The 25,451-nt window shown below is 41.0% G+C and overlaps 1 protein-coding gene, 1 long non-coding RNA gene and 1 pseudogene across 6 annotated transcripts in view; 2 read left to right on the top strand and 1 right to left on the bottom strand.

Moving 5' to 3' along the window:
• The window catches only part of MTRF1 (mitochondrial translation release factor 1), a 95,670-nt gene that overhangs the window by 7,629 nt on the left and 62,590 nt on the right, over positions 1-25,451 (top strand). The gene's annotated exons all lie outside the window — the stretch shown is intronic.
• Positions 359-8,227, bottom strand: LOC105370173 (uncharacterized). 2 transcript variants are annotated; one of them, XR_001749846.2, is made up of 3 exons: positions 8,187-8,227; positions 6,038-6,182; positions 359-897 (listed from the first exon to the last, which is right to left on the bottom strand). It is a non-coding gene; the product is annotated as an uncharacterized LOC105370173 (long non-coding RNA). The 2 variants fall into 2 exon arrangements; XR_941899.3 differs by lacking the exons at positions 6,038-6,182; positions 8,187-8,227 and adding exons at positions 4,811-4,907; positions 5,507-5,976.
• RAC1P3 (Rac family small GTPase 1 pseudogene 3) lies at positions 15,950-16,904 on the top strand (annotated as a pseudogene).

The raw sequence follows: 25,451 nt of genomic DNA, 5'->3' as shown, positions 1-25,451 counted from the left end.
CCAGCTACTTGTGAGGCTGAGACAAGAGCATCACTTGAGCCTAGGGATTTGAGGCTGCAGTGCACTGTGATTGTGCCTGTGAATAGCCACTGCCCTCCAATCTGGGCAATAAGTAAGATCCTGCCTCTGAAAAAACATCTGCCCTCATGGAGCTTGTATTTTGAAGAATTGGCCAATTCCAAAAAGTTTCTCAGTCCACAAGGTCCTTAATCTCTCATTGGCATTTCACACAGTAGACCACCCTCTCCTTCATGAATTTCTCTTTCTTTTCTTATGTTACCAGAAAGAGCTCCTGATCCAGACCCCAAGAGAGGGTTCTTGGATCTCACCGAAGAAAGAATTTGGGGCAAGTCCACAGTGCAAAGCAAAAGCAAATTTATTAAGGAAGTAAAGTGGTGAAGGAATAGCTACTCTATAGACAGAGTAGGGCGTTCCTGAAAGTAAGAGGAGGAACGCGCCTACCCCTAGGTACAATGCTTATTTATATATAGGATAACAAAAAAATGGGGAGATTTGCTCTACTACAAAGGTTTGTGATTTAAACAATTAGTTTTCTTAATTACTATATTTTGCAAGGATCGATATTTATCTTTAAAGCAAAATTAGGAGTGCTTTTGTTTTTAAGACATCAGGATATCAGGACATTCCTGAGTCTGGGTCTGTTAGTAAACGTTATTAATCTGTTCCGTTAACCTAGAGGCTAGGAATACTTACCCTCCTGGGAATGCAGCCCAGCAAGTCCCAGCCTCAGTTTTCTTAGCCCTCACTCAAGATGGAGTAGCTCTGGTTCAAATGGCTCTGACACTTGCATCGCCAAGACCCTGCAGAATTCTGGGTTTTCTCCTGTACCTCTTCTTGGTCATCCTTTGGGTCCTCAATCAAGTCTTCATTCTTCTCCTAAATGTAGATTATCTAGATAATTCTGTTTTCTTTTTAAACAACAACAATAAAACATGTTCATTGAACACCTGCTATGTGCAAGACCAGCACGTACAGAATACACTAGCAATACAAAATTAATAAATTCTCTTGCTCCCATAGCATCATTATTAACACCAAGTAGATTATTTCAAATCTCTCTCCAGTTTCAAGTCCCCTTTGGATCTCCTGGCCTTCATTCTCATTGTTTAATATCTCCATCTGGATGTCTTATAAGCATTTCCTACTTTAACAGTTGAAATAAAATGTATTATCTTCCATCAAAGTAGTCCAAAAAAATAGAGAAAACTACTTATCTGTTTTTGTTATTGACACCACTCTTGCAGTTAGCATCAAATATATATACATATAAAATAAAAATAAATCAAAAATAAATAAATAAATAAATAAGAAAGGCTCTTTCTGGAATTTCTTATCTGGAATGTATGTATTCCAGCCTCTTGAGTAGCTAGAATGTATGTATTCCAGCCTCTTGAGTAGCTGGAATTACAGGTTCCACCTACTCAAGGTGCTCTCTTGAATAGCTGGAATTACAGTTTCCGACTACTCAGGTGCCACCACACCCAGCTTGCCTCAAAATTTTATAATCAACTTTGACTGCTCTTTCTTATTCTCAAGTTGCCAAGTGCTTTAGATTCTAGATCTAGGCCAGGCGCAGTGGCTCACGCCTGTAATCCCAAAACTTTGGAGGCCAAAGCAGGAGGAACACTTGAGCCCAGGAGTTTGAGACCAGCATGGGCAACATAAGGAGGCCCCATCTCTACAAAAAGTAGTTTAGCCAGGCGTGGTGGTGCACACCTGTGGTCTCAGCTACTTGGGAGGCTGAAGTGGGAGGATCACTTGAGCCCAGGAGGTCAAGGTTGCAGTGAGCCATGATTGTGTCACTGCACTCCAGCCTGGGTGACAAAGCAAGACCCCATCTCAAAAAAAAAAATTTAAAAAAAAATCCAGATCTAGTGTGTTTCTCCCTTTTCTTCCCTGTATTGGGGCACAGAAATGATTCCCCAAATATAGCCACGCTGAGTGCTTTTGAAAATCCTCAAAAATAAGCCTGAGAACAAAGGTCTCTCTCTCTCTGCCACTTCTCCCACCTTCCTGTCTCTCTGATCCTGTTTCCAGAAGCACCCTAAGAAAGATTCTTGGCCAGGCACGGTGGCTCGCACCTGTAATCCCAGCACTTTGGAAGGCCGAGGCGGGTGGCTCACCTGAGATCAGGAGTTCGAGACCAGCCTGGCTAATATGGTGAAACCCTGTCTCTACTAAAAATACCAAAATTAGCCAGACATGGTGGTGGTGGGTACCTGTAATCCCAGCTACTCGGGAGTCTGAGGCAGGAGAATCGCTTGAACCCAGGAGAGGGAGATTGCAATGAGCCAAGATCGTGCCACTGCACTCCAGCCTAGGCAACAGAGGGAGACTCCATCTCAAAAATAAATAAATAAATAAATAAGAAAGACTCCTTCTGGAATTTCTTATCTGAAGAAGAAAGTTTAAATACAATTGTCTTAAGACTCCCTCCCTAGGAATCTCATCAAATAGCCAGGAAAGATCAACCACCAGAGAAGAGAAGAGACTGGGAGTCATCCCCACACCCAGACAGACTTTTCATCTGTTCATCTGAGAGCAGCACTGAGAGATTTTATCTACATAAAATCTTTATCTACATAATAAGACAGACTTTGTTTCTGTGCAGCTCTGGTCCTTGCCTTTCTTTTTTTTTTTTGAGACGGAGTCTCACTCTGTTGCCCAGGCTGGAGTGCAGTGGTGAGATCTGGGCTCACTGCAACCTCCACCTCCTGGGTTCAAGTGATTCTCTTGCCTCAGCCTCCCAAGTAGCTGGGATTATAGATGCCCACCACCACATCCGGCTAATTCTTGCATTTTTAGTAGAGTCAGGGTTTTACCCTGTTGGCCAGGTGGATCTCAAACTCCTGACTTCAGGTGATCCGTCCACCTCAGCCTCCCGAAGTGCTGACATTACAGGTATGAGCCACCGCACCCAACCTGTCCTTTGCCTTTCTATATCATCTGCCTCCCACCTCCCAAGTCAATACATCTCTCCCCTCTGAAAACAGGTACATAAGCTTCTGTATAATAGTGCGTTGTTGGGTCACCATTCTGCGATTCCCCCAGGCTAGCCACGTGAAAATAAAATTGTGTATGCCTTTTCTCCTATTAATCTGCCTTTTGTCAGTTTTCAGAGAACCTTCAAAGGGTGAAGGGAAAAGTTTCCTATCCCCTGGTGAATGCAGAGTTAATTCCACTACCTGCGCTTAGGAGGGATACATCTTTGCCTTCTTAGGGAACTTTACTCCTCTCTCCTATCTCTCCTTTCTCTTCTCAATTACTGTAATCATTTCATCATAACTGTTATTGAACACTTACTCTGTACTAGACACTATATGCAATTTGCTATTTCTTATTTAATCTTTATGAAAACCCTATGAGAAAAATACTATTATCCATGAGAAAAAGAGAAATAGCTCAGAGCAATCTGATCTACGTGAGGTATGCAAAATATATCAGGCCCAGAGAGACATGAATATGGAGCTTCAGTCATGCCCCCTGCACCCAGGCAATTGTTTAAAGGCATTTTGTTCTTGACTAGCTGCCTCGCCCATTATCTTCATGTTCCTGAAATTTGTGATACAAAGAACAATGTGTAGCCAATCAATAACTTATGTCATTTTAATGTAAAATCTTGGTAAACAATTTAGGAATTGCCTCTTTTTTATTTTTTTGCTTTAAAAACCACTGGTAAGGCCAGGTGCAGTGGCTCATGCCTACAATCCCAACACTCAGGGAAGCTGAGGCAGGAGGATTGCTTGAGGCCAGGAGTTCAGGCCCAGCAAGACCCTGTCTCTAATTTTTTTTTTTTTTTTTTTGAGACGGAGTCTTGCTGTGTCGCCCAGGCTGGAGTGCAGTGGCCGGATCTCAGCTCACTGCAAGCTCCGCCTCCTGGGTTTAGGCCATTCTCCTGCCTCAGCCTCCCGAGTAGCTGGGACTACAGGCGCCCACCACCATGCCTGGCTAATTTTTTGTATTTTTAGTAGAGACGGGGTTTCACCATGTTGGCCAGGATGGTCTCGATTTCCTGACCTTGTGATCCGCCCGCCTCGGCCTCCCAAAGTGCTGGGATTACTAGCGTGAGCCACGGCTCCCAGCCTCTAATTATTTTTTAGAAATGTTTAAACCACTTGTAATTACAGCAAACAGAAGTGTGTATTCAGGGAAACTCAAATCTATGCTTTTGGGTGGCCATCTTCAATCTTTGAGCTCAAATAAACTCTATGCTTAATCATATTTTCTGCATCTCATTCTTAAGGTTGACATTTTGGTGACCCAAACGGGACCTAAAGCAGACCTCCAGTGATCACTGTCACTTCACTGACAACTAGAGAACTGGTGCCAGTAGTTTATCCAACCTTGCTGGAGTCAACAACGATCTCTGGAAAGGCTCCTCTCAAGTCTGAATCTTTCTGGCTTTCTTGAGGATTGAGACATTATTTGAGCTACACACATTCCTAAATTGAAAGGGCTGAAATTGAAACTCTACTGTTCGGTAGGAGTTTCATTTGTTATTCTTTAGTGATTTTTCTGACCACAGATTTGTAAGTTTCACTTTTTCTCTGATATTAAGGTCTTATTTGAATTATGCCTTAGAGCTTTTCAAACATTTCTCTCATTCAGAAGTTTGGTCAGGGAGATATCAGTTTATCACTGAAAAAAAAAAAAAGTCTTTAAAACTGGCCAGATTGTGAAGCTCAGTTCAATTGACAAATTTAAACTTTTCTTCTTGAGTGATCGAAATTCTTCCTGCTAGGTCTTTTTGGCCATTCAAAAGGAAAGTCTTAATTATGGGCAATCTTACTTCTATAACTGAGTCTTCCTCCTTAAGTAGAGATCCACCACTAGAAACACCAGCTGGATTCCTGTTTAGTATTCACAGCACCTCCTCATGCAAATATCTAGAAAAAAATTGATCTCATATTACTCAAGATGACCCCAAGTTACAATGGCCAAAATGAGGTAACTTTGAAATACCTAAGCTAGTTTATCTGCCTGATCCATTAGTAAAAGCCGGCTCTAAAAGAAAAGAAAATAACTGGGAGCTATTTTCAATGGTACTTAGCCTCTAAAAGAGGTTGTGATAAAGCCAATTCTCTGCAAGAGTAGGACAAAAGTACAAAACAATTTCTGAATTTAAAAAATACTACCAAAATTTCTCCCCCTTCTTCAGCTCCTCTTTCTCTCTCTCTCTCTTTTTTTTTTCTTTTTTAGATAGAGTCTCACTCTGTCACCCAGGCTGGAGTGCAGTGGCATGATCTCGGCTCACTACAACCTGCACACACACACACACACACACCCAGGTTGAAGTGATTCACCTGCCTCAGCCTCCTGAGTAGCTGGATTTACAGGCGTGCGTCACGCCCAGCTAATTTTTGTATTTTTTAGTAGAAACGGGGTTTTGCCATGTTGGCCAGGCTGGTCTCAAACTCCTGACCTCAAGTGATCCGCCTGCTTTGGCCTCCCAAAGTGCTGGGATTACAGGTGTGAGCCTCCTCACCTGGCCTCCTCCTTCTCTTTTGACAGAACTTCTTGTCCAGATTTACCTCCCTTTCCTCCTCTTCCTCCTTCTTCCGCTGTTCTGGCTCCATTTTGGAAATACCTTGTGTTCATTAGAGGAGAACCTGACTTGATATATCAACCATGGTTCAAAAGTAGAACTTAAAGACATAATTTAAAAATTCCCAGATCCTCTTCAGGACCCCATTGAATTTGCTAGAAAATGTGATTCAAATGTTTGAGCTTATAATCCCAGATTCTCTGGTTTATACCAAGTGATTCGCATATTAGTGTCAGAAAGTAAAGCCAAAGATTAGATAGCAAAGGCAAATTGGAGAAATTGTTTAAAGGACTTCCAATTCTGAAGCAGATCATGAATGGGCCTACAATACTGCCAAAGCTTTGCTAAATCCTATCCCCTTCGTTTTCGAAAAGTAGTTAATTGGAACAAAATATAACAATGCAAACAAAATCTTGATAAGCCTGTAATGTTACACTATGAGAGTGTAACTTCGTAATAGTGCTAACTTACCAAAATGATGCTCTCCTTAACTAAAACTTCGTAAATGGATAAGACGAAGAACTGGCATGTGTAACAAAGGGACAGTGCCCCAGTTGGACTGCCTTTCAAACTCATGAGCTAGTTAATTTTGCTGATCAAATATCCCATACCCTACCTAAGGAAGAAAAAGAAAAGAAAGCCAAACAGAGGGGAAAAGCAAAAAAGATCATGAGTTTGCAACTAAAGCAATTGTCTAACCTAATAAGTTCCAAAACCAATCTAATCCTCTGCTTTGCAATTACTGCAAAAATCCTGGACATTACAAAAAGGATTGTAGATTATATAATATTCACAGCTCCTTCTCTCAAAAAAAAAGGGAAAATGTATTTAGAATTAAAAGATAAGATTGAATTATTAGGTTCAAGAATGTTTTTGAAATCCGATTCTATTAATTTATAAATTGCAGTTTATATTGTCATAGAGGAAATCAAATTGTTAAATAGTGAACAGTTTTAAGAGGAATTAAAGACCTGGCATGGTGGCTCACACCTGTAATCCCAGCACTTTGGGAAGTTGAGGCGGGCACATCACTGGAGGTAAGGGGTTTAAGACAGCCTGGCCAACATGGTGAAACCCCATCTCTACTAAAAATAAAAAAAATTAGCTGGGTGTAGTGGCATACACCTGTAATCCCAGCCACTCGGGACGCTGAGGCAGGAGAACCACTTGAACCCGGAAGGCAGAGGTTGTGGTGAGCCAAGATAGTGCCACTGCACTCCAGCCTAGGTAAAAAAGCAAGACCCGGTCTCAGAAAAAAAAAAAAAAGCAATTAAAAGTAGTACCTGATCTCTTTGGCTTTTGGAGTACCAGGGATTACTTTGTATTGTGGGAGAGAACCTGACTTTTGTATGTGTAATGGCAAGTTACTGGCAAAATCTACAGTTACTGGCAAAAGCTGCAGTTTTGGAAGTGGCAGCCAGTGGTTGCAGTGAGTGGTTGTTACTTCAGGGGGCTTAGATAAAAAGGAAGTTTTGAAACCTTGGAGATTGTAAGAACACTCAACACCAAAAGATAGAACTATGGTGGGCTAATCAGAGTGGGCTGATTGGCATTGGGTCGCCCACTAGCCTTGGGGAATGTCTTTGTAGGGAGATGTACTGTGGAAGTGTTGACTTTGGAAAACAAAATACAAAAAGAATCAGCAGTATTTCAAACAAGAATTTATGTAATCATTTTAGTGCTCCATCAGTTCAGTCCCTTGTAATTCTTTTTCTGCTTGATGTTGACTTAACGATCCTCATGAATGAGTCAGTCTTTTATTAGAATTCTGGGAGTTTTTATTTAGTCCATTTATCTTAAAGTTATCAGAAATCAGTGTTTAAGAGTACTTGTTAGTCTTTTCCATGAAAAGCAATTTTGGACTAAAGCTGATTGCAAATGTGTTTAGAGAAGAATTCAAAACAACAGCTGTGGATGATAAAAACTTAGAATAGCCATGATTAAAATCTGATGAAAGTTCCAATTGACCAGGAAATTTAGTTATTGCTATTACGTGCAGCATTTAAAATATCTAGTAGATGCAACCAGAATTATGACTGATAATGTCACATCAGGACCATCAGAATTTTATAACTTTTATATAATTTTTAGAATATTTAAATTAATAACATATTCATACAAATATAACTTTAACATAGCAATCAAAAATCATAATAAAATTATGACTGACAAAATATTATATTTTTATTAATTTGTATGATTTTGGAAACACATATCAATAACATACCCATAAATGTAACTGAGAGAAGATCTAATATTATTGTTATTTGACAATGCCTACCGTACAATTTACCAAATAATTTAATATCTCTACAAAATGAGAGATACATTCTTTGATGTTTCCAGGGGCCCAACTAGAATATCCCAAAGTTAATTTTAAGCCAACAAAAAGTAATTTAGAATTTTGATCTTAGTGAAATCTGCCAAAGATGTCAAAAGGTTTGAAACATTTGATCAAAAGAGAATCATGGGCTGGGTACAGTGGCTCAGGACAGCAATCCCAGTGCTTTGGGAGGCTGAGGTGGGAGGATTGCTTGAGGCCGGGAGTTTAAGACCAGCCTGGGCTACATTAGCAAGATCTCATCTTCATGAAAAGTTTTTACAGCATGGTGGCTCATACCTTTAGTCCCAGCACATTGAGAGGTCAAGGCAGAATGATTGCTTGAGGCCAGAAGTTCAAGGCCAGATTGGGCAACATAGGGAGACCTGGTATCTACAAATAAAAATGAAAAATTAACTGGGCATGGTGACACACTACTGTAGTCCTAGCTACTCAGGAGACCAAGGATTGCTTGAGCCCCAGAGTTCAAAATTACAGCAAGTTGTGATTGTACCACTTGACTCCAGTTTGGGCAACAGAGCAAGACCTTATCTCTAAAACAAAAAATGAAAAAAAAATTTAATTAGCTGGATGTTCTGGCATGCATCAGTAGTCCCAGCTATTCAGGAGGCTGAGGTGGGAGGATCACTTGAGCCTAGTTTTATAGTGAACTACGATCACACAACTGTACTCCAGCCTGGGCAGCAAAGCAAGATCCTATCTCAAAACAAAAACAAAAATGAAAACAAAAATCCGAAAAACAAAACAGAATCACAGGTCACTGTTAAATAATAGTTATTCATTTAACCAGAGTGATAATCATAAAACTTCAAAAGCTATATAGAAGTTACATGGTTGTGGAAACCTTAACCCATTTAAAACTCAGTTTTCCTAAGTAACCAAAATCCTAATAAAGACAACACAAGGATTATCTCGATAAAATGTAAAATCTTTTTTTTTTCAGACCTGTTACCAAAAAGGAAAAGAAAAACCTTCTGTAGTGTAATTGCTTTTCCTCATGAGAAGCCCATTTAGTTAACCTGGAAGTCAAACCTGATGAAAAAGGTACTTGAATTTAAGCAGACAGAGGAAGAGTTTGTCCAGGATTATGATGTACAATTTATTATGGAGAAATGTAAACAAGAAAACTAGTACCTTGTGTAGGGACACAAAGTAGGGACTCTTAGTAACAACATGGATGTTTCCTGGTTATACTGAACAATGCAGACCTATAAAGAAAACCCAAGAGTACAGAATCAAGTTATACTGAAGGAAAACATTGCTTTTCTACACCTTCAAGATAAAACATTTCAGTGTCAGGCCACAACATCAGTGTTAGAACCAGAACAAAAGTTACAGGAATTGATAAAAACATTGAAGGACAGAGTTACCATCCCAGCCAAGCAAAAAGATGTACCTTTCCCAGGGATTAAAAAACAGAAGGCAATCACATGTGACCTGCAAATCACATGCAGCAAGGTACAGTAAAAGTTGAACTTCCGAGATATAAGTCTGAGAAGTTTTAAAAGATACAGATTTCAGAATTAAAAATTCAGAACCTCTGAATTTTACTAAAAGCAAATTGATAGTTGATGAAAAACTTGCTTTATTCTAACATAGGGAACCAAAATTTTAGTTTTGTATTAGTATAATTTAATATCAAAGCTCAATCTTTAGAAAGACTTATAAGTAATTTCCTTTAATTATAGCCAACCTGATCACATGCAAATTTCCTTTCATAAATTTTCTTTTCACAAACCTTATCACAACGTACTCTGACAATATGTACCATAGACAATATGCTTGAAATTTCTGCTTTATCCTATACTTTTGCTCTCTTAAATTTTACCTTAGGACACAAATTTACCATATAAAGTTTTTTCTCATATAACATTATTATCTTTTCTTTTTAACCTTTCTTACCAAAAATACGTTTTCATATCTATACTTTCTTCACATATCACTCTCCTACTTACCGGTTCTTTCCTATCTGTTCTATATTTTGAAACAATGTTTAATTAACCTCCAAAATAGACAAAAAATTTTTTTCATAATAAAGAACACAACTTTATCCGTTTCTTTCTTTCTTTCTTTTTTTTTTTTTTTTGAGATGGAGTCTCACTCTGTTGCCAGGCTGGAGGGCAGTGGCACAATCTTGGCTTACTGCAACCTCTGCCTCCTGGGTTCAAGCAATTCTCCTGCCTCAGCCTCCCTAGTAGCTGGAATTACAGGCACGTACCACCACGCCCAGCTAATTTTTGTATTTTTAGTAGAGACGGGGTTTCACCATGTTGGCCAGGATGGTCTCAATCTCTTGACCTCGTGATCTGCCTGCCTTGGCCTCCCAAAGTGCTGGGATTACAGGTATAAGCCACAGTGCCCAGCCACTTTGTGACTTTCTTATAATTTTTTTCTATCAAAAATACATTTTGTGTATATATATGTACTCTTTATATACAGAATTCTATATATTGATTACAATTTTTAACTCTTAAATTTAATGAAACCTAGGAAGCAAGATCTTGAATTGTCTGTCACATATCAGTATTTTACTTTTAATTTGTTTTCTTTTTTTACCTACCTGGTTCATTTTCAATATATCAATATTTATCATGAGAATCATTTTGTAATTTTTAGAAACATGTTTCCCTATAACACAATTTTAAAATTTTATTTGATAATGACCCAGATTTAATTAGTATCTATTAATTTAACACAACTTTAAGATATCAAATTACATTAAAAGTTCATTTATGGAAATTTATTTAATTTACCTAATTTATTTATTTTAGCAGATAACCTAGATTATTTCTGAAAACTGAGGTATTAGACAAAGTTAGTCATGGTATCAAATTATTTCCTTGTTATCCATTTTTATAGCCTGTGACTATCAGGTGTTCACTTAAATAAGAGCCTTAAAGTGAAGTATATTGGTATTTTGCTGATAAGCCAGAAGATACGGCTGTAACATTAAATTAGTCTTATCACAAAATTACTCAAAGATCATTCTGTTTTAGGCTGAGTTTATACTTTTATAACCTTTGTGTTAAACCATGACAGCTTCAGATATCTAGCAGAGAAAGATATAAAACTGTCTGACCAGTAAACCCAGGCAAAGTGTATGCTGACAATTCTGAAGACATTTCTATTTTTGTTTTACCAATAATTTTAAAATCATCTTATTTATTAATGCTTTACTCATTTAACAAAAACTAAAAGCCATTAGGATTAATTACTATATATTTTATATGAGCACTAATTTATCCTTAAGAGATTTCTGGTCAACTATGCCAGATTTTACCATGTAGACACAGCATATAATACATGTATATATGTATAAATACATCTAAACACACACACACACACACACAAAGATTTCACAGCTTTCATTTTAGAATTTTAGTCATGAGATAGTAATAAAAACTCACTGGTTCATAAAAGACAATTGGATCCAAATTATATTTCTGACTAAATTGGAATGTGTTCACATGGCTAAAATTTAATTGCCCTTACAGATAATCTAATGAAGACTGTGGACCAAAATTTCAGGCAAATAAGTTTTTGTGGCAGTTTGATTTTAGTTTTTTGGTGATAGTGTCTCACTCTGGCACCCAGACTGGAGTGCTGTGGCATAATCATAGTTCACTGCAGCCCTGAACTACTTGGCTCAACCAGTCCTCCCACCTCAGCCTCCTCCCAAGTACCTAGGGCTACAGGTGCATGCCACCACCTAGCTAATTTATTTTTATTTTTATTTTTATTTTCATTGAGATGAGGGTCTCACTATTGTTACCCTGACTTGTCTTGAACTCCCTGCCTCAAATGATCCTCATGCCTTTGCTTCACAAAGTGCTAGAGCAGTTTGATTTTTGTAAAATCAATTTTACCCTTCTTTTCAGTTTCAAATGAGTTTGTTTAAATTTTTTTTTTTTTTTTTTTTTTTGAGACAGAATCTCCCTCTGTCGCCCAGGCTGGAGTGCAGTGGCGTGATCTCTGCTCACTGCAAGCTCCGCCTCCCAGGTTCATGCCATTCTCCTGCCTCAGCCTCCCAAGTAGCTGGGATTACAGGCACCCACCACGCCCAGCTAATTTTTTGTATTTTTAGTAGAGACGGGGTTTCACCGTATTAGCCAGGATGGTCTCGATCTCCTGACCTCATGATCCTCTCACCTTGGTCTCCCAAAGTGCTGGGATTACAAGCGTGAGCCACCATGCCCAGCCAAGGTCAAATTTTTAATGTTTACATTTTGGCTAGGACTGGCTGAATTGAATAAGAAAAATAAAATCCCCAATTATCCTTGAATTAGTAACAAATCTATCTTTTGTTTACCAGTCTGGTTTGCTTGATTAACAAATGTGGACAGGAAAGATTAGAGCAGTTTCTCTCTCGCTCTCTCTCTCTTCTTTCAGCTTTTTGTTTTTGTTTGTTTTTTGTTTTTGTTTTTGTTTTTGTTTTGTTGGTCTCTGCATAGCAGAAAAAGTAAAACTTTTGTATTGAACAGAGATTCCTTATATTATTGCTCCAAGCTCAAGATTTTGATCTGTTTGATCTAAGAGCCTAACTTTTATAAACACTTATATAGTTCTTTCTCTTTTAGATTTCTAATTTTTCAATTAAGTGTTCCATTTTAATGGGGGCAGCTGAATATATTTTACCAATGACAGTGGAAGACTAAGATCACAAAAGGTCCAGGAATGCTTGCAGTAAATCATAAGTGGCATTTATCAGTCCCAGTTTAGAAAAAATTTGTTGGATCTGTATTTTAACAATCTCAGTAGTTTTATTCTTGTTCTGTAGCTGTTCTGTTTGCTTATCTGTTCTACATTTAAATACCTTTCCCTCTTTTGAGAGAAAGAAATGTATGCATTGTGAAATTCCAAAAGTCTCTACCTAGGAGATATATGAGAGCTAGAGGTACAAGCAGAAAGGAATGAGTTCAAATAAGGGAGTAGGGGTGGGGAAGGAGCCAGAAGGATAGGGAGAAGCAGTTGGAGGTGAAAGGGAGAAAGTCGCTAAATCTTTTTCAATTTAGAAATAGTTTCAGGCTGACCAGGTGCGGCAGCTCACCTGTAATCCCAGCACTTTAGGAGGCTGTGGCGGGTAGATCGCTTGAGCCTGGGAGTTCAAGATATCCCTAGGCAACGTGGCAAAACCCCGTCTCTTCTAAAAATACAAAAATTAGCCAGGAGTGGTGGGGTGTGCCTATAGTCCCAGCTACTCGGGAGGCTGAGGTGGGAAGATCACTTGGGCCTGGGAGGGCAAGATGACAGTGAGCTGTAATCATGACATTGCACTCCAGCCTGGACAACAGAGCAAGACCCTATCTCAAAGAAAAGGAAAAGAAAAATAGTTTCTGGTATCCTTTTATTTACCTGTTGAATAGAGGCAACTTTTTTCAAAATTTCTTTTTTCTGTTTTTTTTTTTTGAGACGGAGTTTTGCTCTTGTTGCCCAGGCTGGAGTGCAATGGCGTGATCTCGGCTCACTGCAACCTCCGCCTCCCACGTTCAAACAATTCTCCTGCCTCAGCCTCCCGAGTAGCTGGGATTACAGGCATGCACCATCACGCCTGGCTAATTTTTTTTGTATTTTTAGTAGAGACGGGGTTTCTCCATGTTGGTCAGGCTGGTCTCGAACTCCTGACCTCAGGTGATCCACCCACCTCGGCCTCCCAAAGTGCTGGGATTACAGGCATGAGCCACTGCGTCCAGCCTCTACAAAATTTCTTTTATAGGTTGGTGCAAAAGTAATTGCAGTTTTAGAGGGTGAATTTTAAATCATTATAACTAGATTCAAATATATCTTTATTAATCAAAATAAGAACCATTACAGGCCAAGCACAGTGGCTCACAGCTGTAATCCCAGCACTTTGGGAGGCCGAGGTGGGCGGATCATGAGGTCAGGAGTTCGAGACCAGCCTGGCCAACATGGTGAAACCCCATCTCTACTAAAAATACAAAAATTAGCTGGGCACTGGGGCATAGGCCTGTAGTCCCAGCTACTTGGGAGGCTGAGGCAGGAGAATCGCTTAGGACCCAGGAAGCAGAGGTTGCAGTGAGCCGAGATTGTGCCACTGCACTCCAGCCTGGGTGACAGAGCAAAACTCCGTATCAGAAAAAAAAAAAGGCTGGGTGTGGTGGCTCACGCCTGTAATCCCAGCACTTTGGGAGGCCAAGGCAGGCAGATCACGAGGTCAGGAGTTCAAGACCATCCTGGCTAACATGGTGAAACCCCGTCTCTACTAAAAATACAAAAAAATTAGCCGGACGTAGGTGGTGCACGCCTGTAGTCCCACCTACTCGGGAGGCTGAGGCAGGAGAATGGCGTAAAACCCGGGAGGCGGAGGTTGCAGTGAGCCGAGATTGCACCACTGCACTCCAGCCTGGGAGACAGAGCGAGACTCCATCTCAAAAAAAAAAAAAAAAAAAAAAAAAGAACTATTACAATCAACACATTTTTGCCAATGAGAAATAAGTTTGTTTCTTCCTGTAGCATAAAAGTCCGTGCTTCGGGATTCAACAAACTCTTGGAAAGCATTTTCTGCATCCTGCTAGTTGTGGAAGCGTTTTCCCTGCAAAAAGTTGTTGAGATACTTGAAGAAGAGATAGTCAGTTGGCGGGAGGTCAGGTGAATATGTTGGATGAGGCAAAAATTCATAGCCCAATTTGTTCAACTTTTGAAGCGTTGGTTGTGCAATGTGTGGTTGGGTGTTGTCATGGAGAAGAATTGGGCCCTATTTGTTGACCAATGCCGGCTGCAGGCTTTGCGGTTTTCAGTGGATCTCTTTGATTTGCTGAGCATACTTGTCAGATGTGATAGTTTTGCAGGGATTCAGAAAGCTGTCGTGGATCAGATCGGCAGCAGACCATCAAACAGTGACCATGACCTTTGTCTGGTGCAAGTTTGACTTTGAGAAGTGCTTTGGAGCTTGTTCTCGGTCCAACCACTGAGCTGACTGTCACCAGTTGTCATATAAAATCCACTTTTCGGCTGGGCACGGCGGCTCACGCCTGTAATCCTAGCACTTTGAGAGGCCAAGGTGGGTGGATCCCCTGAGCAGGAGTTCGAGACCAGCCTGGCCAATATGGCAAAACCCCATCTCTACTAAAAATACAAAAATTAGCCAGGCATTGTGGCACATACCTATAACCCCAGCTACCTGGGAGGCTGAGGCAGGAGAATCACTTGAACCCAGGAGGCAGAGGGTGCAGTGAGCTGAGATTGCACCACCACTGCACTCCAGCCTGGGTGACAGAGCGAGACTCCATCTCAGAAAAAAAAAAAAAAAAAATTTAAATCCACTTTTCACTGCACAAATCCAATCAAGAAATAGTTCGTTGTTGTTGCGTAGAATAAGAGAAGACAACACTTCAAAAAAATTATTTTTTTTTAAATTTTTGCTTAACTCATGAGGCACTCACTCATCGAGCTTTTTCACCTTTCCAATTTGCTTCAAATGCCAAATGACCATAGAATGGTCAACGTTGAGTTCTTTAGCAACGTCTTGTGTAGTTGTAAGAGGGTCAGCTTTGATGATTGCTATCAATTGGTCATTGTCAACTTCTGATGGCTGGCCACTATGCTCCCTATCTTCAAGGCTCTTGTCTCCTTTTCAAAACTTCTTGAACCATCACTGCACCGTATGTTCATTAGCAGTTCCTGAACCAAATGCATTATTGACACTGCGAGTTGTCTCCGCTGCTTTACGACCCATTTTGAACTCGAATAACAAAATTGCATGAATTTGCTTTTTGTCTAACATCATTTCCATAGTCTAAAATAAACAAAAAAAATCGAGTAATGTCATTACAAAAGAAATAAAGTGAAAAATACTCACTAAAATGATGTATATCATAACCACATTATTTAAGAGTGTATTCCAATACCAAATGGCAAATTCCAACAATGCAAAAACTGCAATTACTTTTGCACTCACCTAAATAGAAGCTTCTAAGTGCTGGTGACAGTAAGCCTCCCACTCAGTTTGTCTAATCCCATCTTTTTCCAATTGTCCATGTGAATTAATTATTTTAGCATTTTCAAAAGATTCCCATTTTGGGCTAAGGGTGAGGTGGCATGGACAACGACCTTGGCACCCCATCCCCTGCCACCTGCAGCCATGCACCTGCCTACCATGCTTCTATCCCACCACTTCTTGCCTTAGTGCCTAACCACCACTGCCAGGGCCCAGCGAGTGACCCAGGTGCAAGCCATCAAGTGTGTGGTGGTTGGAGATGGAGCTACAAGTAAAACTTGCCTACTAATCAGTGTTACACCCAATGCATTTCCCAATGCATTATCACTATTGTCTTTGACAATTATTCTGCTGCCAATGTTAAGGTAGATGGAAAGCCAGTGAATCTGGGCTTATGGGATACATCTGGACAAGAAGATTATGACAGATTATGCCCCCATTCTATCTGTAAACAGACATATTTTTAATATGCTTCTCCCTTGTGAGTCTTGCATCATTTGAAAATGTCTGTGCAGAGTGGCATCCTGAAATGCAGCACCATTTTCCCAACACTCCCATCATTCTTGTGGGAAGTAAACTTGATCTTAATGTTGTTAAAGACACGATTGAGAAACTGAAGGAGAAGAAGCTGACTCCCATCACCTATCTGCAGTTTTTAGCCAGGAATAAGGAGATTGGCGCTTTAAAATACCTGAAGTGCTTGGCTCTCACATAGCGAGGGTTCAAAACGGTGTTTGACAAAGCTATCTGAGCAGTTCTCTGCCCACCTCCTGTGAAGAAGAGGAAGAGAAAATGCCTGCTGTTGTAAATGTCTGAGCCTCTCATTCTTAGCCCTGCCCTTTAAAACTGTTGTACATTTTGCTTAAAAAATGGTAGCGCCTTCTCACTCAATGCCAAATTTTAGTTACAGATTAATTTTCCATAAAACCGTTTTGAACCACTCAGTCACTTTAAGATTTTGTTTGTTCTATAGATAAAAGTTGAGACTCACATTCTTTAAAATTTAGCTCTAAAATGACAAGACTTCTTAAAGCCTTATTTTTTTAGATCCCCTTAATATCGTTTGATATGTGTCCCCTCCAAATCTTATGTTGAAATGTAGTCTCCAGTGTGGATCATGGGGGCAGATCCCTCATGAATGGCTTGGCACCATCCCCTTAGTGATAAGTGAGCTCTCGCTCTGAGTTCACACGAGATCTGGTTGTTTAAAAGTGTGTTGCACCTACTCCATCCTCCTTACTCCTGCTCTGGCCATGTGAGGTGCCTGCTCTGTCTTTACCTTCCGCCATGAATGAAAGCTCCCTGAGGCCTCCCCAGAAGCCACACAGTTGCTGGAGCCATGCTTGCACACTGCAAAACCGTGAGCCAATTAAACCTCTTTTCTTTATAAATAACTGAGCCACGTGGTTGTTCTTTATAGCAATGCAAGAATGGCCTAACACACCCCTATTCTTACTTAGATTAAGAGTTGACAAAATACCTTCTGAACTAAGTTGCATTGTTATGTTAAGAACACTAAGCATTAAACTATTTAAAGACCTTTGTCTTTGGGAAAACTGTAGTTTCTAAAATAGGAAATGCAGACATTTTCTAAGTAATTTTCCGATAGGTAAAGCAGAACAGCCTCCTTAATGAAACATTGCCATTTAACGCACCAATAATTTATCAACCCATGTTCATTACATAACATCGTACTGTATATCATAATGAAATGAGTATAACAAACTCAGCTCTTTGGATCAGTCTGTTTTATTTTATACTGAATTTTTGTTAAAAAAAATTGACCAGCTTTGGCTAAGATTTCGAACAGAACTCTGATTCACATGTTTCCTGTAATGAAGTATTCTGCTCTTAGTTGTGGGTGTACTGGAGTGGAGTGTGTGAAACACTCGATGTGATCAAAGGATGAAGATCGTATTTTGATAAGATATGAAGTAGAGATTAATTTACACTCATTTCACAAGGAATAATCAAACTGAATAAAAATGTCATGGGTAAAACAATTGTTTTTAAATCCCCATTTTGCCAATGCTGCTTATGACTATCCTGGGTTAGCAGGTTCACTTATCTAAGCACTTGCAAGTAGAAGAACCGTAAGTATTATACATAAAATCATCCGGTGTTGACAGAGATGGTGCACCTTCAGTCTTAGAAGACCTATTTTCTATCTTGGTTTTGAGCAAGACAAACTATGTAGTGGATCAAGTGTTCTGGCTAGAATCTTTCTTCCTATATATTTCACCCAACAGGCTGAAAAGATCCTTTTATGTATCTTGGATTCCCAAATCACTTCCAAAGAAGTGGCAGGATGCTCACTGGCAAGAGATGATCAGTCTTTAGAAAGCCTGTCAACTAAGCAAAAAGTTGTGTGAGGATTCTCCTATAAGATTGCTACATATTTTGGGTAGTATGTCTGACACCTCTGCTAGTTTCAGTTTTCCCTTTTTTTTTTTTTTTTTTGTTGTTGTTGTTGTTTGTTTTTTTTGAGACAGAGTCTTGCTCTGTCACCCAGGCTGGAGTGCAGTGGCTCGATCTCGGCTCACTGCAACATCCGCCTCCTGGGTTCAAGTGATTCTCCTGCCTCAGCCTCCCAAGTAGCTGGGATTACAGGCTCATGCCACCACTCCTGGCTAATTTTTGTATTTTTAGTAGAGACGGGGTTTCACCATGTTGGCCAGGCTGTTCTCAAACTCTTGACCTCAGGCAATCTGCAGGGTTGGGATTACAGGCATGAGCCACCACGCCCGGCCCAGTTTTCCCATTGGGCTGGAGGCAGTGAGTGTCTCAACTTCATGCAATCAAAAAGGAGAAAGGAAAAGGTTGTCTCTCCCCAAAATTCCAGAATAACAATTCACAGATCTCCTATTTTACCCTGCCCTAGAATTCTACCCTTACCTTGAACTCATAGCAGTAACTCTCTGTCTGAAAGAGTCTTTGTACCTCCTAGCCAAGGAGGATACCAGCTTCAATAAACCAGAACTTTGATCAAGATGGGAAGTTTATTGATTCTGAAGGAACTCGTCTGTAGCATCCAGCAGGGCCATCAAGTTCAGTAATGCAATGGGTTTGTTGCCAGTACCTGCAGAGGGTCAGAAGCCATGCTGGGTGATCCAGGGAAATCACTCTGAATTCCTGCCAGCTACACCAAAAATGTCAGCCAAAATTAAGGCTGTTGGGACAGAAATAATTTGATAAAAGTTTACTGGAAGACAAATGTGAAGATCAACCCAGGAAGACACGCCAACCAAGTTGGGAGTTTTCCAGAGTCTGTTACAAGTTGGAAGGCTTTTATAGGAGAGTTTAGAAGAAGGGAAGAGGACTCCTCATACCAGAGTTGTCCTTTTTCATTAGAGGATACCATCATTGACTACAGATTGCAACATATAAGCTAAAATGTCCACATGCCAGACAATAAGTAAAACTTCATGATTCAGAAATAAATCAGCATCCTTTTCATTTCAGTATCAGTAGATCATACGTTAATCAGTAAGTCAACAATTCGAGGAACTCACAATAAGATTATTTACTCAGGGAGATGATGTTGCCATGAATCATAATACCTCCTCAAGGGGAGTAAACTTAAAAGCCTGTTGACAGGCCGGGCACAGTGGCTCATGCCTGTAATCCTAGCACTTAGGGAGGCAAAGTTGGTTGGTCACCCGAGGTCAGGAGTTCAAGACCAGCCGGGCCAACATGGTGAAATCCCGTCTCTACTAAAAATACAAAAGTTAGCCAGTTGTGGTGGCGGGTGCCAGCAATCCCAGCTACTCGGGAGGCTGAGGCACAAGAATCACTTGAACTTGGGAGGCAGAGGTTGCAGTGAGTTGATATCACGCCACTGCACTCCAGCGTCGATATCACGCCACTGCACTCCAGCCTGGTGATAGAGGGAGACTTTGTCTCAAAATTAATTAATTAATTTAGAGCCTGTTGACTATTAAAGTAAACTGCCAAATGTATCCTGTAGATTATCAGAGAAATTTTTTTTCCTTTTTTTTTTTTTTTGAGACACGGTCTCACTGTGTCACCCAGGCTGGAGTGCAGTGGCCTAATCACTAATTTCTTTTTTTTTTTGAGACAGAGTGTCATTCTGTCACCCAAGCTAGAGTGCAATCTCTGCTTACTGCAGCCTCTGCTTCCCAGGTTCAAGTGATTCTCCTGCCTGAGCCTCCCGAGTAGCTGGGATTACAGGCCTGGCTAATTTTTGCATTTTTTTTTTTTTTTCAGTAGAGATGGAGTTTTGCCATGTTGGCCAGGCTGGTCTCAAACTCCTGACCTCAGGTGATCCTCCCACCTCAGCCTCCCAAAGTGCTGGGATTACAGTCATGAGCCACCGTGCTAGGCCTAATCAGCTAACTTTTAATTTTTTTGTAGAGATGGTGTCTCCCCATGTTGCCCAGGCTGGTCTTGAACTCATGGGCTGTAAAGTTCTAATGGAGGCTACAGATAGGAAAGTGTTGATAGAATTAAGGTAAAGGTTTATAGAAAAGTTAGTGTGTTTGAACACAATGTAATGTGGTTGCGTCTTACCTGATTGTGTTATGGGGATGGACATTGTACCCAACTGGGGAATGTTTCCCCCACCTAGTGCTGTAAAACAGGAGGCATGTCAATCTGCCCTTTAAGCAATATTATTTGAACATGCTAAACGGGAACAAATAAGATTGTCAGAGGCCGGGCGCGGTGGCTCACGCCTGTAATCCCAGCACTTTGGGAGGCCGAGGCGGGTGGATCACGAGGTCAGGAGATCGAGACCAAGGTGAAACCCCGTCTCTACTAAAAATACAAAAAGTTAGCCGGGCGTAGTGGCGGGCGCCTGTGGTCCCAGCTACTCGGGAGGCTGAGGCAGGAGAATGGCGTGAACCCGGGAGGCGGAGCTTGCAGTGAGCCGAGATCGCGCCACTGCACTCCAGCCTGGGTGACAGAGCGAGACTCCGTCTCAAAAAAAAAAAAAAAAAAAAAAGATTGTCAGAGCTCACACAGAATGTAGAGTAGAAGCTGGAGTCCTGGTATGAACAAATTCTCTATTTGTTAGCCCTATGTGGAATGTAAACTGGAGCTTAAGGTAAAAGTCTGTGAGCACCTCTCAGTGACAATTAACTGGAACATTGGACTAAAGAATTTCCAATGAAGGGGCATTTGCTACCTTGATATGGGACATTAATTGAAGCTACCCCCATGACTGAAGGACACAAATGATCTTGAAACTTGATGTCTTGGTCGGTGTCAGAGAGACACTCTAATGGGGACAGCAGCGCCCAGAGGAGTTCCATGATAAAATGGAAATGGTTTATACAGGATCAACCACCTGAGGAATACAAGGAAGGGATAAACAGAGAAAACTTTTCCCCCTAAGATTAAGTCTGGAACTGTGTGAAGAGCTGCTAGATTCTATCATCGCATGGATAGTGCCCAATGAACAGCTCTCAAATGACTGACAAAGATCTGCTTAGCTTGTGAATGGCAGTTTCAAGGTGAATGGACATCATCCTATTTGGGAGGATACCACCCCAATCAAAGAAAGTAAAAACAAATCAGCTTGGTGGGCAGAATTGTGTGCTATTTTCCTAGCAGTGATGGAAGAATTGAACAGTGGTAAAAAAGTCCTTATGTTTGGGTTTTTACTGACCCAAGGGCAGTCGCCAATGACCTGGCCACACAGTCAGGCAGGAGGGCAATGGAATCCAATTAAAGGGAAGCCCATATGGGGCATAGCCCTATCAAAATTTGAGGCATTCATTAAGTAGGACATGGCAATGCCCATCAAAAGATACCCCTTCCAGATTTGGCAGGTGATAAGAATTATCAAACAAATATCCCCATATGCTCTCTTGAGATTGTAACTAAACTCAGGTCCAGCCACTCATTGCTTGAAAGCCAAAAACTTAAGGAACAAGTTTTGGTGAAAGGGAAGTTAACTTTATTCAAGAAGCTAGCAACGTAGGGAAGGTAGTCAACTAGCATTCAAAGACTACCTTTCCAAGTTGGGCTTCCAGATCTGGGGCTTTTAAGGGAAATTAGGGAAATGATGATCAAAACATTCTTGTGAAATGTGCACAGTTTCAGACAGGCAGTTAATTATTACTTCTCTTTTTCTGAGACAGGGTTCTGCTCTGTCGCCCAGGCTAGAATGCAGTGGTGCCATCTCACTGCAGCCTCAATCTACCAGGCTCAAGCAATCCTCCTGCCTCGGCTTCACAAGTAGCTGGAAGTATAGGCACATGCCACCATGCCCAGATTATTTCATTGATTTTCAGAAGAGATAAGGTCTTGTTCCGTTGCCCAGGCTGAATCATTGCTTTCTTGTCAATGTTTTGTGACCTTCTGCAATCGCCATTAGCCTATTCTTACCAGCTGGTCAGCCTATTCCCAGAGCTGTTAGTCAGAGTATTTTCTTTTTTTTTTTTTTTTGAGACGGAGTCTTGCTCTGTCGCCCAGGCTGGAGTGCAGTGACACAGTCTCAGCTCACTGCAAGCTCCGCCTCCCGGGTTCAAGTGATTCTCCTGCCTCAGCCTCCTGAGTAGCTGGGATTACAGGTGCCCGCCACCACGCCTGGCTAATTTTTTTTGTATTTTTAGTAGAGACGGGGTTTCACCATGTTAGCCAGGATGGTCTCGATCTCCTGACCTCGTGATCTGCCCACCTCGGCCTCCCAAAGTGCTGGGATTACAGGCATGAGCCACCGTGCCCGGCCTGGGCAGAGTATTTTCTTTTACCTTCGTTGAAGATCCTGTTTTCCTGAGGCTGTTTTTAGTAAATAATCTACAAATTCAAGCAAAGCAATAATTCCATTCTAGCAAACAAGCTTTTCTCTAACATGGAGTCAGTACTGTTACAAAGTGGCCACCTGGGTCCATGGAATGGGCGGATATGGGGATACTGCAACAATGCAGAGATGGGCTAAATCTAAACACGTTCTTTTTCACCCTCTCAGGCACATAATGCCAGTAAAAACTGTTGTGTCTATCAGCATAAGATATAGATACTGCCAGTGACTATGGGCAGATTCCCTGGTGGCAAGGCCCTGAACATGGTTGGCAAGTGAGTCTGATACTGGTAGCACTCGGGACTACAAATGGGCCTTCACAGGAATAGACATTGACTCTGGACCTGGCTTTGCTTACCCAGTGGAAAATACAAATTCTCAAAGTGCTATTTAAAAAAAAAAACAAAAACTAACAAACAAACAAACAAAACAAACCAGAAGATATTGCATGGATTTGGATGGCTGACCACAATTTCCTCAGACCAAGGAACACACTGTACAGCCCATAATGTCTAACAGTGAGCGGGAAAATCTCCTCCTCAGAGTAATAGTTTGATAGAGGAGTGAAACTGGCAATTAAAACATTGGTTGTCTAAAACAGAGAAAGATAAATGCATGAAGGGCTGGCTTACACGCCTTCCTGAGTGTGTGCTCACACTCGACATGAGGGGTATCCACACTGGATTCTCCTGTTACTCTGGTTGGTCTGGGAAAGAGGAGGTGGGGACAATGCTGGTATGATATACAATTCTTACCAAGGGAGGTGTATACTGCTATAATGATTGTAGTTTCTTTTCTTTCTTCCCCACGTCACCTCAACTTTTTCTCCGCTACCTGATGCAAGAGTCCTAGGATCAGGGATGCAAATACAAATGCTAGAAGCAAGAATGATTCCTAAGCAAGAAACTGCCACAATGTGTTTAAACCTTATGCCAGGATTCCTAGGGACCTGATGGAGATGGGTTGTACCTTCACCCCATCTGGCAAAATTGAGGTGTCAATAAAAAGAGTCAAGCTCTGTAAAATATTTGAAGAGATTTATTCTGAGGCAAATATGAGTGACCAGTGGCGTGTAACACAGCCCTCAGGAGATCCTAAGAACATATGCCCAGGGTGGTCAGGGTACAGCTTGGTTTTACACATTTTAGGGAGACATAAGACATCAATCAATACATGTAAGATATACATTGGTCCAGAAAGGTGTGGCAATGAAAAGAGTCAAAATCTGTAAAATATTTTAAGAGATTTATTCTGAGCCAAATATTAGTGACCACAGCCCGTGACACAGCCCTCAGGAGGTCCTGAGAACCTGTGCCCAAAGTGGTTGGGGTGCAGCTTGGTTTTATATATTTTTAGGGAGGCATGAGACATCAATCAAATACATTTAAGAAATACACTGGTTTGGTTCAGAAAGGCAGGACAACTCTAAGCCGGGGGGCTTCCAAGCTATAGATAAATTTAAACATTTTCTGGTTGACAATTGGCTGAGTTTATCTGAAGACCTGGGATCAATGGAAAGGAAAGTTTAGGTTAAGATAAAGGATTGTGGGCCGGGCGCGGTGGCTCACGCCTGTAATCCCAGCACTTTGGGAAGCCAGGGTGGGCGGATCACAAGGTCAGGAGTTCAAGACCAGCCTGGCCAACACAGTGAACCCCATCTCTACAAAAAATACAAAAATTAGACAAGCATGGTGTCACACGCCTGTAGTCCCTGCTACTTGGGAGGCTGAGGCAGGGGAATCACTTGAACCTGGGAGACGGAGGTTGTGGTGAGCTGAGATCGGGCCACTGTCCTCCAGCCTGGGCAACAGAGCAAAACTCTGTCTCAAAATAAAATAAAATAAAGGATTGTGGAGACCAAATTTTACTTTGCAGAGAAATCTCTCAGATACCAGTCCTCAGAGAGAGAGCAGATTGTAAAATGTTTCTTATCAGACCTAAAAGGGTGCCTCTTAGTTGATTATATCCTAGATCTGGAAGAAAGGAAGGAAAACAAAGGGGAAAGGGGATTTTCTATAGAATGTGGATTTTTCCCATGAGAGACCTTGCAGGGCAATTTCAAGGTATGGCAAGGAAATATATATTTTGGGGTTAAATATTTTTTTCCGTGTCTCATAATATTATGCCAGAGTCAGGTTGAAAAGTAAGTCATGATATATAGGGTCAAATAAAACCCATCTGATGAGAATTTATGGTTTGTAGGGCATGACTCCCTACACCCCTTAGGTAATAATTTGGGCAAGATAAAAAATCAGAGCTTAGTCCTCAGGAACTAGAAGGGAGGCTTCCAGGTTATAGGCAGATTCAAATATTTTCTGATTGGCAATTGGTTGAAAGAGTTATTATCTAAGGACCTGGAATCAACAGAAAGGAACGTTTGGGTTACGGTTAAGAGGCTGTGGGGGCCAAGGTTTTATCATGCAGATGATGCCTCCAGGTAGCAGGCTTCAAAGACAGAATCATTGTAAATGTTTCTTCCAAGACTTAAGAGTTGGCTGGGCACAGTGGCTCATGCCTGCAATCCCAGTACTTTGGGAGGCTGAGGCAGGTGAATCACCTGAGGTCAAGAGTTCAAGACCAGCCTGGCCAACATAGTGAAACCCCATCTCTACTAAAAATACAAAAAATTAGCTGGGCATGGTGGCAGGTGCCTGTAATCCCAGCTACTCAGGAGGCTGAGGCAGGAGAATTGCTTAAACCCGGGAGAAAGAGGTTGCAGTGAGCTGAGATTGTGCCACTGCACTTCAGCCTGGGCAGCAAGAACAAAACTTCATCTCAAAAAAAATAAAAAATAAAATAAAATAAAAAATAGTTTGTTTTATCA

The sequence above is a fragment of the Homo sapiens genome, chromosome 13 (assembly GCF_000001405.40).
Source record: "Homo sapiens chromosome 13, GRCh38.p14 Primary Assembly".
NCBI lineage: Eukaryota > Metazoa > Chordata > Mammalia > Primates > Hominidae > Homo > Homo sapiens.
The sequence above is the reverse complement of the archived record's forward strand: the minus strand, read 5'-3'. Positions and strand labels throughout refer to the sequence as shown.